This window comes from Homo sapiens, chromosome 13, assembly GCF_000001405.40.
Source record: "Homo sapiens chromosome 13, GRCh38.p14 Primary Assembly".
In the NCBI taxonomy this organism is placed as follows: Eukaryota; Metazoa; Chordata; class Mammalia; order Primates; family Hominidae; genus Homo; species Homo sapiens.
In genome coordinates this window covers 85342624-85356583 of record NC_000013.11, presented here as the reverse complement: position 1 = coordinate 85356583, position 13960 = coordinate 85342624, and positions in this window count along the sequence as shown.

The window sequence follows — 13960 nt, the reverse complement described above, 5'->3', positions numbered from 1 at the left end:
AACTCAGCTATGAATTGACCTGGTCCTGCGCTTTTTTTGGTTGGTAGGTTATTTATTACTGTTTTAATTTTGGAGATCACTGTTGGTGCATTTAGGGATTCGATTTCTTCCTGGTTCAGTCTTGGGAGGGTGTATGTGTCCAGGAATGTATTCTTTTCTTTTCGATTTTCCAGTTTGTGTGCATAGAGGTGGTCATAATATTCCCTGATGGCTATTTGTACTTCTGTGGGGTCAGTGGTAATATACCTTTTGTCATTTCTAATTGTGTTTATTTGAATCTTCTCTCTTTTCTTTATTAGTCTAGATAGTGATCTAACTATTTTATTACTTTTTTTTTCAAAGAAACAACTCCTGGATTTGCTGATCATTTAAGTGATTTTTCATGTCTCATTCTCTTTCAGTTCAGCTTTGATTTTGGTTATATCTTGTCTTCTGCAAGCTTTGGTGTTGATTTGCTTTCGGTTCTTGAGTTCTTTTACTTGTGTTGTTAGGGTCCTAAATTGAAGTCTTTCTAATTTTTTGATGTTAGGGCATTTAGTGCTGTAAATTTTATTTTTAACACTGCCTTAGCTGTGTCCAGGGATCCTGGTATGTTCTATCTTTGTTTTCATCAGTTTCAAAGAACTTCTTGCTCTCTGCCTTAATTTCATTATTTACCCAAAAGTCATTCGAGAGCAGGTTATTTAATTTCAATGTAAGTGTCTGGTTTTGAGCAATTTTCTTAGTCTTGATTTCTAATTTTATTCTGCTGTTGTCTGTAAGAGTGTTTGGTATGATAACTTTTGCATTCACTGATGATTATTTTATATCTGATTATGTGGTTGATTTTAGAGTATGAACCATGTAGTGATGAGAAGAATGTATAGCTTGTTGTTTTTGGATGGAAAATCCTGTAGATGTCTATCAGGTCCATTTGATCCAGTACTGAGTTCAGGTCCTGAATATCTTTGTTAATTTTCTGCCTTGATGATCTGTCTAATACTGTTAGTGGTATGTTGAAGTATCCCATTATTATTGTGTTTGAGTCTAAGTCTCTTTAATGGTCTGTAAGAACTTTCTTTATGAATCTGAGTGCGCCTGTGTTGGGTGTATATATATATTTAGTATAGTTAGGTCTTCTTATTAAATCAAATGCTTTATCATTATGTATTGCCCTTCTTTGTCTTTTTGAAAATCTTTGTTGGTCTAGAATCTGTTTTGTCTAAAATAAGATTACAACCCCTGCTTTTTTCTGTTTTCCATTTATTTGGTAGATTTTTCTCTACTCCTTAACTTTGAGCGTATGGTTGTCACTGCATGTGAAATGGGTTTCTTAAAGATGGCATACGGTTGCTGTCTTGGATTTTTATCCAGCTTGCCACTCTGTGCATTTTAACTGGGGCATTTAGCCCATTTACATTCAAGGTTAGTATTGATATGTGTGGATTTGATCCTATCATCATGATGTTAGCTGGTTATTATGAAGACTTGTTTGTGGATGCTTTATAGTGCCACCTGGTCTGTGTACTTACCTGTGTTTTTGTAGTGGCGGGTAATGATATTTCCTTTCCATATTTAGTGCTTCCTTCTGAAGCTCTTGTGAGGCAGGTCTGGTGGTAATGAATTCTCTCAGCATTTGCTTGTCTGGAATGGATCTTATTTCTCCTTTACTTAAGAAGCTTAGTATGGCCAAATATGAAATTGCTGGGTTCCTGGCAGGGGCAGGGCTGGTGACTGTGTGCCTGCTAAGGCTCTGACTGCAATGGTGATAAGGTGGGAGTTGAGGAGAGAAGTGCACTCCCACCAGCAGCAGTGGCAGGGCAGGGTGCATGCACACATGCATGCTGGTGGGGCAGAGAAGGCAAAATCCACCTGCCTATACACATGCTGACAAAATGATGTGCAGGGTGACTGTGGCCCGGGGGGTAAGCTGCAGCAGAGGAGAGAGTGAGCAGGCTGGTGTATGGCTGCAAGGGTTGCCCTGCTGGAGCTCTCAGCTGATCAAGTACTGTCTTCTAGCAAAGAAGCTATGATGCAGGTCCCCAGGGAACCTGAGGCTGCACTGCAAGCAGGTTCAGCCAGGCTGTGGCCCCAGGAGAGACCCACAGACCAAGGCTGCTCAGGTTGGACTGGCCCCTGAGGGGCAAGGCTGCTCTGCACAGTTCAGTCCAATAGTTCCCCTAGAGCTAAATTCTCCTATGGGAACCAGTCAAGCCAAGGGGGATGGATGTCCTCGGCCATGCTCCAGTAGGGATGCTCCCATGGCAAACCCTCCTCGCTCTTCAACAGCTGGTCAGCTGCCCCTACTACTTGTCTAAGGAGCTCTCCCTGCCAACTCAATTATCTCTGGTGGTCAAGGGGTCTCCTCCTTCCAGGGTTCCAGAGTGCAGAGGTGTAAGTAGGTTGTTCTTTGCCAGTTCTCCAGGAATTATTGGGAGCCAGCAATGAGTACCAGTGCACAGTAGCCCCGTCCAGGGCTCCCGACTTCCTCCTCCTTCACCCAGCTTCTGTATCTTCCCTCTGTCCACTCTCAGTGCTTTCCATCTGAAGATCTGTTAGAAGTGCCGCCAGTCATCCTGGTCCTTCCATGGCAGCTGTTCCACCTGGCTGCATAGAGACAGCCATCTTGGCCCCAGATATTTTCTGAATTGTGCAATTTGAAATTTCAGTAGCATTGCTTCTTGAGAAATGTGTCATCTAACCATATTTTACTTCTTTCTGTGGGGGCTGGGAGTGCAGGGACTTCTTCTGTCACCCAGGCTGGAGCACAGTGGCACGATTATAGCTCACCGCAGCCTCGAATTCGTGGGCCTCCCAAGTAGCTGCGACTACAAGAGTGCAGCACCATGCCTGGTTATTTGTTAGTTCTTTTTGTATATCTTTTAGAGGTGGGGTTTTACCATGTTGTCCAGGTTGGGCTTGAACATCTGAACTCAAGTGATCCACCAGCCTCAGCTTCCCAAAGTGCTGAGATTACAGGCGTGAGCCACCACCCTGGCCTATTTCTTCATAATAAATTACTTGATCGTTTGGTATTTTTGTTTGTTTTTGTAACCACAGTATTTATCCAGTACCTTTGATTTATGTATTTTACATTAGACACCCAGGATTTTTCTTAACACTCCTAACTGGCTTCAAGTATAATCTGAATATCTTTCAACACAAATGTATTCCCTCTTCTTACTAACACTAATGCCTTACCCCTAATTAGCACATTAAATCATATCTTATTTTTACCTTGAGATAACTAAATTTATTAGTTTATAATTATTGTTATAAATCAGTATCTTATAGTGGGCTCTTCATATACTGCTAGCAGAGGAGAGAAACAATGGAGAAGGGAAAATGGTGAAGAATGGGATGTTTGAGAGTGCAGAACCATCTCTCATGTTTCATCTGTCTTAACTCATATCAGATTCATAGTGAACACGCACTCTGAGAATCATCTGAGGATGTGATTTTCTTTGACACTTTTAAAAACAGTCCTTACAAGTATTATAATCACACATTCATAGTGGTCAATATTTTAGTTTATTTCGTCAAGGGAAGGGGTTCCATGGCATTACCACATTCTAAAAGGCAACACAATAAAAAGAATAGATTAATATTTTTCTTGATAGTACAACAGGATCCATCCAAGTTATTTAGGTGCAATTCTACAATTTGTGTGTTGTAGAAATCTAGGGGATGCCATTCATGGATTCATACAGTTCATACAGTTTATGATCTATGAAGTTATATGGACGAGCTCTGTTCAAACACAGAACAAATAAGCTGTTAGATTTATTACTGTCCTTTTTAAGAAGTCATTCTGCCATCGCAAATTTAATAGCCAATCTAATTACTTTCTTCTACTTGTCCAATCAAAAATGTTCTGTGCTTCTCCCAACCCCAAATATGGACAGTAAGCTAGACCACTATCAATTCTTCAATGTTTGGCACTTACTGTATAAAAAAGGAAACGTGGCCCTCCTTGCTCTTTCTTGCAGCATCAAAGATAGAAGGAGAAATGAAGGAGGTGTAAGGTATTTGTTGCTATTTATGTCATTTATATAAGATGTTAACTCCACTAATCCCATATAATCTTTGATGCCAGCAACTCTTTAATGATTTAATTGACTAGCAAATAGTAGCAAAGAAAAAAAGAAAGAGTGAAAGGAATGAAGGGGAGGGATGGGGAAGGAGAGAGACAAGGATGCATTTAAATAAATATTTGTGTTTCATTTTTCAATATGATATCTTACATAAGTAATATATCCTCTCAATCAAATACATACAAAAGAGTAGGCACTGAATTAATGGCTTGAACACAGCACAAACAATGTGTACTTGTCTCTGTGAAAGAGTTTATAATTTCAAGTACATGACTGATCACAGGACTTTTGAGTTTAACACATCTGAGATGAAATTTAATTTTCACCATTGAATCACCTCAGAAAATTTCCATATTCTCTCTAAGACCAATATTTGTCACTCAGACAGACTGACTGTAATAGTATCTTTCTTATAGGATAATTGTGGGAATTCAATGAGATAATACAAGTAGAACAATTAATATACTGCCTATCACATATGGAGGGTCCAAAAAGTTATAATTTCAGAACAAAGAAACTTAATTCTAACCAGAAACCACAATCATATCTAGAATATTTTTATGTCTGGACATAGTTATTTATTTATTTGGCAAATGTTTATTTAACATTGATATATCCAACATATTATGCTAAACAATGTGGATATTGTAGAAGATACTACAGTCTGAATAATAACATTTTGGTCAATGACATCACATATATGATAGTGGTCTCATAAAATTATAATTTTATTATAATATTATAATTTATTTTATTTTTATTGTACCCTTTTCTGTTTAGATACACAGATACAATTACGTTAAGTTCCCTAGAGTATTCAGTACAATAACTGGATTTACAGCCTAGGATCAATAGGCTATATCATATAGGCTAGGTAAGTAGTAGGCTCTACCGTTAAGGTTTGTGGAAGTATACTCTATGATGTTTGCACAAAACAACAACATCACCTAATGAGTCATTTCTCAGAATTATTCCTGTCATTAAGCAATGCATGACAATATAGATTTGCTGCCTACACTTACAAAGTTATATGCAAGTATATATATTTGTTTCTTATTCTTTTGTCACAAAGTACAATTTCAGCAGCTTAAAAACAATACTGATTCATGATCACACAGTTTTTGTAAGTCAAATGTCCCAAAAAGGCAGTGCTGAATTATCTACTTAAGTTATCATGAGTCTTAAAGCAAGTTGTCAGTCAGGCCAAGCTCTTCTCTGGATATTCTGGAGAACAATTGACCTTCAAGCTCTTTCAGGTTTCTGGTGGAGTCTAATTCCTTGTGGATATTAGATTGAGATTCCCATTTTCTTGCAGACTGTCAGTTCTCAGCTTCTCAAGAACGACCCTAAAGTCCTTATCATGTGTCTCCTCCTCAATCTCAGCAGTAAAGAACCCTTCTTACTTTCCAATTTTCTCTCATTTCCCTTAACAGTTGGAGAAACCTTTCTTCTTCTTCTTCTTCTTCTTCTTCTTCTTCTTCCTCTTCCTCTTCTTCTTCTTCTTCTTCTTCTTCTTCTTCTTCTTCTTCTTCTTCTTCTTCTTTTTTTTTTGACAGAGCCTTGCTTTGTCCCCCAGGCTGCAGTGCAGTGGCACAATCTCGGCTCACTGCAACCTCCGCCTCCTGGGTTCAAGCAATTCTCCTGCCTCAGTCTCCCAAGTAGCTGAGACTACAGGCACCCGCTACCACACCCGGCTAATTTTTGTATTTTTAGTAGAAACAGAGTTTCACCATATTGGCCAGGCTGGTCTCGAACTCCTGACCTTGTGATCCACCTGCCTCAGCCTCCCAAAGCACAGGGATTACAGACAAGAGCCACCGTGACTGGCCAAACCTTTCTTCTTTTAAAAGATTTGTGCGGTGATGTTAGGCCCCCTTGTCTTATATAATCCACCTAGGTTAAGGTCCACTGTGTCATATCACGTAACGTAATTGGCAGGGTAGAGTGAGAAATCTTCGGCCATCTATGAATTATGCTGACCAAAACATGAAAGATTGACATAAGAAACATGAATACCCATTAATTATTTATATTTTGGGGGGTATTTGACATAGGTAAGATAAGTAAAGAGTGTCATGAGAATTTATCCTAAAGCTGTAGAAAGACAATGAAGCAGAGATACCAATTGACATTTAATCAAGACAGTTTTACTTTCAAATTTACATATATTTCCATGCATAAATATTATGAAAGAAGCAAAATGTTTTCCCGGAATAGGACAGAAGAAAATAAAACAAGACAGAAAGCACTGAATACTTAAAAAAAAAAACTATTTTCTAGTCATTCATGTGGTAATTTGATAGCTTTCGTCCTCCATTTTCCAATCTGTTTCTTAGAAATAATATATAACACACTCCTATTGTGAGATATTAATGTCTTTTTATGTAGAAAGCACATAAAATGAAATATAATCTCAGATTCAAAATTAATATAAAGTGTTTTAGGTTAACTTAGAAAAAAATATCTGTATACAAAGTACTGGAAACGAGGCTTTTAGACAATGTTTATATTTTTAAATAAATACTGTTCTTGAAACAAAGGCATCTAAATCACTGGACAGGCAAATCTAACTATGTTCTTCCATCATGTATTTTATCATCAGAGCTTTAGTTCAAGGTAGCTTTGTACTGAATAGAGAAAAGATTTATGTCATAGTTAAATACCATAGTGTCCATCACCTAACAAAGCATAACAAATAGATATTGTTCTGAAAGTTTACGTTTACTATGATCATGATTTATGTTATCAAGAACAGAAATCACAATGTGACTTCCACCTTGATGGAACATTAATCAAAGGATAAAACTATATTAAAGCAAAGTTCCAGTTGGGCAGGAATATAATGGTATAAGCTATTTTTCATCACACAATCATTTTATGATCCACTTTTACATCAAAACAATGGAATACAGGAAGTGTGCTGCTTTCAAATCACAGAGTAAAAAGTTCATCCCAAAGTGAAATAAATGAATTCTAAAATATGCTAAGTCACCTTGGGCTTTTCTTAAAATTGCATTATAGAACTAAGCTAATGGTAGTTAGTTATTTTCATTACAACTAATTTATTTTGTGTACAAAAAAAGAATGAGGATGTTTTTCTCCCTTTATTTATATAAACAATAGATTTTAATCAAACTTTATTTATAGATTATCCTGAAATAGACATCTTATCATTTTTACTACTAAAATAATATATATCATATATCATGTTTTAACCAAATGGTCTTATTTCAATGTGATATCTTATAATTTTTTATTAAAGTATCATCTACACATCTACATAAAGAACATACTTTTTTTCTGTATTGAATTAGAATAAGCAGTAATGAATAGTTTCAATGTTAAACCTTTGGCAGGCTCACGTTTCTTAGGTATAGGTTTTATACCAAGCATATTGAATGAACAGAGTGGGGCTGTACGGTAGTTTTGCAGATCCCTATGATTTAGACTCTGTTGGAGATCATTTTAGCACATAACTATTTTTGTAACTGTTGAAAAGGGCATGAATGGTATGGTACTACCAGCATCTGTCCCTTCTGGAAATTAGGCTCTCTTTTCCTCCCTTCCCCCAACATATCTGTGTATCTCCATGATAGTCATTGGGATTCCACAGTCTTACATGGCCCCACTTTTCTAGCTATGGTGGCGTACGGACAAGCTACAGACACTAACATACTCACTCAGATTAAACTCTCAGAATTTTCAAACTGGAATTAAAAAAATTTCTTCCAGATATGAAACTTTTAAGTTAACAATAGTTTTGACTCCTTCAATTTTCAAAAAAGTAAAATAAAACCCATATACTGAAACGTAAGTGAGAGCAAAAGAAGGAAGGAAGGAAGGTAGGTCAGACTTTATCCAAATGTTTACTTATAATTGATCCCAAAGCCCAACTTTCATTGTTCTTTAAGATGATTTGTCCCCAAATTCCTTCAATATCCCACTATTCTAAGTTCCCCCTTTTGTTTTTCCTTCTTTCACTTTCAACGAAAAGAATTCTGTTTCGGGTAGATATACATAGACACACATATATACACATACATATGTGTATGCATGTATTATATGCCTTCTGTCCTTATACCCATATACTTTTCCAGTCCTATCATGTTTGCATTGCTGGAAGAACATAACTCTTGAATAGTTATTCATGTATTTACTCAATAAATATTTATTGAAAACCTTCTGACTATCAAGAACTAGAAAATATTTTCAGATAATGTTAAATGTTAAGAAGGAACTCATAAAGAAACATGATAAAAGCTAAAGAGATATTGACAATAAAGGAAAACTTTATATAAGAAAGTTATTAAGTCCTTTTTTAAGAAGGCGATATTTGGGCTAGGACTTAGGGCTCTGGTAAAAGGACACTCCATGCAAGAACAGAGTAGGAGTGAAATGGGAGGAACCTGGTGATTTATCAGCACAGAGAAAAGGACCTTGTGAATGAGTGTGGTGAACAAGACATGGAGGAGTAAAAAATGAGGTTGGGAAAGGCCTTTATCAATAGGAAATCATTGAGAGGAGTGGCAGCATTGTGACATGGTGTGGCTTATATTTCCCAAATATTACAATGATAACTCTATGGAGGTCAAATTATGGGAGAGTAGAAGTAGAATGAGGGAAATTGGTGAGGAAGCTATTGTAGTAGTACTGGTGAGAGGTACGGGTGATTTGGAATTGATTGGCAGCAAGAGAGAAAAATAGACAAATCAATTTGGGGTATAATGGAATTAAGCAGGAACTTGCTATAAATTGCATATTGGGAGGTATAAAAGAAACAGATTATTCAAATATAAGTATAAATATATTTATGAGCCACTGGTTGGATGTAGTTTTAATTGCCTGGGATGGGGAAGAAAGTACAGTGATAAGGAAAATCAATGATACAGTTTTAATCATGTTATATTTCAGATATGTTCAAGCATCTAATTGCATGTGTTAAGTCTGCTAGGGCTGGCATAACAAAATGCCAAAGATTGGGTGGGTTAAACCACAGACATTTATCCTGACATAACAAAATACCACATACTGGGTGGCTTAAACAACCGACGTTTATTTTCTTACATTCCTGGAGTCTAGAATTTCAAGATCAATGTGCTGACTTGGTTGGTTTCTGGTGAGGCATCTCTCTTTGGCTTTCAGATGTCTGCCTTCTTGCTGTGTACTTACATGGCCTTTCCTCTGAATGCACATGCTCCTCGTGTCTCTTTTTGTTCTTATAAGGACGCCTGTTTTATTGGATTATTGTCGCACCCTGAAGACCTCATTTAACTTAAATTATTTCCATAAAGTCCTTATCTCCAAATACAGTAACATTAAAAATTATAAGTTCAACCTATGAATTTTGGTTGGGGGTCAGTGAGGGGGAGACACAATTCATTCCATAAGATTGAAGATATTAAAAACAAAATGGATAGGAAATTTTGAAAAATTCCCAATCCCTGTGATAATTTGGTCAAGTTTTTTAACCAGATACATATAAATGCTAAATGCATAGGGAAAAATAGCCTAGAATAAAGGTGGTAAGGATGAGAAAGTGTAATCAGAATCAGAAGAAATAAAGCAAAACCCCAAGAAATCCCTGGACTGATGGTGCCTGTTTTTTTTGTTGTTGTTGTTGTTATTCTTCTTTTTTTTTTTTTTTTTGACGGAGTCTCACACTGTCGCCCAGGCTGGAGTGCAGTGGCACGATCTCCGCTCACTGCAAGCTCCGCCTCCCGGATGCAGGCCATTCTCCTGCCTCAGCCTCCGGAGTAGCTGGGACTACAGGCGCCCGCCACCAGGCCGGCTAATTTTTTCGCATTTTTAGTAGAGACGGGGTTTCACCATGTTGGACAGGATGGTCTCGATCTCCTGACCTCGTGATCCGCCTGCCTCGGCCTCCCAAAGTGCTGGGATTACAGGTGTGAGCCACCGCGCCTGGCCTTTTTTGTTATTCTTTATACAACATGTAAAACAACAATTTGGCCACACAGCTTTTAAAATTATGAATATTCAACGGAGTGTGTTCTGCAGAATTCACTTTGGGAGACTAGGAATAAAAGCAGGTCATGTTGATAGAGTTAATATATGTTCTGTATATCTAGTAAATAATATATACTTTACTTCTATAACCCAAAAGTCTTACCTCTCTACTCTCAGCCATATACTATGATTACTCAAGGTTTATAATCTTTATGGATGCAATAAAACATATTTCTGATATTCTTAGCTCTATCAATCAGGCACTGTAGCAATAATGTTGTATAAAAAACCATCCCCAAATCTCAGTAGCTTATATTAGACAATTATTTCTAGTTTACACATATGAAAAGTTGGCTAAAGGGCTTTTCTTCAGGTCTGTGGATGTCTTCTAAAGTCTTCAATTTTGTCCTTCAACATTGACAGAATTGGAGAATCATTAAGAATTAGCGAAATACTCTGTGCCTTTGACTAAGACTCTCACTCAATTAAATGTGCATATGAGACACCTTGTGTTTCTACCCACTGAAGTTTCCTAATGTACACCACAATGAATTGAGCTATAATATTTAATTGAATGTCTTCAGTATTGAGTTTATTTTCCTAGGAATAGGTTCCTTTGAAGGACTGTTTATATATAACCTGATTTGTATTGTACTTTGTTGAAATCATTTCCTGATATCTAACGTCTATATCTAATGCCTCTTCTGCTGTCTGGTATCATAAATGTTATTTTTGTATAAGAAAAAATGCTAGTAGAAAGAGATCCTATAAATTAGTTATTGATTTGGCCCCATGAATTGAAAAGTTCAGAAGGATTTTTCTCGGAATTATATCTTTTGGGCAAATTTTGCCCAGGATTTCCATTTCAAAACCTTCTTGGGAATTTATTTTTTTAATTTGTATCCGTGACAACTTCTTTTATTTTAGGTTTTTGACTTTATTTTTTACTTTGTTTTATTTATTTATTTATTTATTTTTTGAGACAGAGTCTCGCTCTGTCACCAGCCTGGAGTGTGACGGTGCGATCTTGGCTCACTGCAACCTCTGCCTCCCGGGTTCAAGCAATTCTCCTGCCTAGCCACCCAAGTAGGTGGGACTACAGGCACGCGCCACCAGGCCCAACTAATTTTTGTATTTTTAGTAGAGACGGGGTTTCACCATGTTGGCCAGGATCTCTTGACCTTGTGATCTGCCCACCTCAGCCTCCCAAAGTGCTGGGATTACAGGCATGAGCTACCACACCCTGCCCAGAATGAGGAGGTTTAGTCCAGACCCTGGTTGGTGACGACTAATCTTTGACCAAACCCTGGAGACAAGAAACATTACAAGAATCATACTTCTGTACACAAAGTAGTTCTCATGGGGTCTTTTCAATGTAAAATTGTTATTCCTCTAGGGCAACCACTACTTTATTTGTGTTTTCTCACTATAACGCTAACTCTAGTGCATATCTTTCTAACTGGCACGATTTTACCAATGATGACTTATAATTGTAAATTTTATATATATACATACATACATATAGATGTATAGATGTATGTTGCAAATATTATATATACATACATACAGATGTATAGATGTATGTACAGGTATAGATGTATATACATACATATATATCTGTATGTATGTATATATAATTTGCAATTCTAAATCATCTATATATACACATATATACATAAATCATATACGTATATACTTGTATATATATTTGTATGTATGTATGTATACGTGGCACTGAAGAAAGAGTTAGACAATCAGAAGATCAATCTAAGACATTATCTAGAATTCAGGTATACAACTAGACAAAAATGTTAAACGGAAATCAGGATACAGAGAGAAAAATTAGAACACGCAGCATGCATATACTAGTTTCAGGAGTAATAAATAGTATTCATTAAGAGCAAGATACAAAATGTCCCACAGAGCTGCATATCCTCCTAACATGACCCCACACTTTCCCTGCTGTAACACTGCCTTATAGGACAAGTGAAAGAATCTCTCTGTGATTCCACAGAGCTGTTTGTGATCCCAAAGATTCATCTTCCCTTGGTATACCCTCGTGTGCTCCATCCTAAGCAGAATTTCAGGTGGAACACAAGACTCTGGGTGCCACACAGCTATTTCACCCTTGACAGCCCTCAGAGATCAATGTGCCCCTGAATTTAATCAAGATGGCAAGAATGCCATGTATTTGGCAGAATGTATGGGTATTGATTTGGCTACATAAGAAGTTATCTGAATAAAAAGGCTCTAAAAAAAATGCTTGCCTGCCTTTTCTTAAAAAACCATTAGAGGAACTACATTATACGTCACTTTTTTTTAGCTCAATCATAACCAGAAATACAACTTTTCTAGGTCCTCAATTATAATCCACACTGCCACCTTCAAATACCTTTTTAGTATTCGCAATCCACCCCTCGAAAATTTCCCGAACTCCCCAACCTTTCAACTTTACCCTCAGAAACTCTTGCCCTATCCTGCTTAATCCTTCATAATCTTCAGCTCTTCTCTGAATCTTTCTATGCCATGTTAATCTGACCAAAATCCCTGCAGCCTTCACAAGAATTCATTATTTTAATATCAACATCCCAAATATCATAACCCCTGAAGATGAAGAGATTCCTCCATGTTTTTCCTCACAATTCCAGACTTTATCCTGACTCCTTTGAAATAACATCTTGTGATAATAACTTGAGTTATGATCAATGCAAAACTTCTCTCATTTCTTGAAAACTGTTGTAACCACTATTCCCACAATTATTATCATTATTAGTGGTGCTAGTACTTTCTACTGGATTATCCATTTAACATCCTAGTCTCTTACTTCTTTGATCTTATTTCCAACATTCTTTTTCTCCACTTGAGTTCAGCTATTTTCTACCAAAGTTAGACACTAGACCTTCTCAAAACCAAGAACTATAATATAGAAAGTGAGTTTACACTTCCTAATCTTTAATTGCAACTTCAGAATGTTCCACATCACTTATTTTTAATATATTATTCACACTCCAAAAAGTTTTACTTCCAGAGATCCTACAAGATATGGATGTTTTATATAATTGTTCGCCAGTCCTTTCACATTCTCGTATTCCTTTTTATTAAACTTAGGTTTCATTTGCAAGAACTGCATTCATTCCCTAGAATATAGATTTAGCTCCTATCTCTCTCTTTAACTACCTCATATTGGCATGCAAAACTAGAACCTGTTTATACTCAACATTTCATCTCCTCTGTGCTTGTGCTCAAGAAAGGGAATATAGCTAGAGTAAAAATTAGGACTATGTTGAAGGACTTATTTTAAATCTAAACACACAAATCTCAAGTAGACCTTCCATCCTACCTTGAACTCTTTATTTTCTTTGCTTAGGCAATTAAGTCTCCCACACTCTGAAATAATTGCTTTACAACATTATTCAATTCTCAAACCTCTAATGCACTCTCCCTGTTTCTCATCTTCAGAATGATGAGCTTATTCTTATTTCATTAAAAAAGAAAATAGAAACAATGAAAAACCATCTATTCACTGCCATATCTCAAACAATTCTACTTTGTGCTCACGTATTTTGCTTTCTTTACATTGAATGAACTGAATTGCTCCAACAGAATTAACTTCTCAAGGTTACCAATTGCCTCAATTTTGCCCAAATCTAATGTTCGTTATTCATAATTTATTTCTCAGTATCCCTTGGCAGTATTGATATTTCTTTCTCAAAATATGTTCTTCATTTTGCTTCTGGGAAACCACAATTTTGGTTTTCTTTTTTCCTCACTGAGTGTTTTATTTTAACCTCTCCTCTAATCCCCAAATGTCAAATATTAAACGATTCCAGGAATCAAAATCAGTCATTATTTTATTCCTTCATTCCTTTATAAACTTAACTAAAATATTGTTCTGAAACATTCTAAGATAATAGTAAAAATTT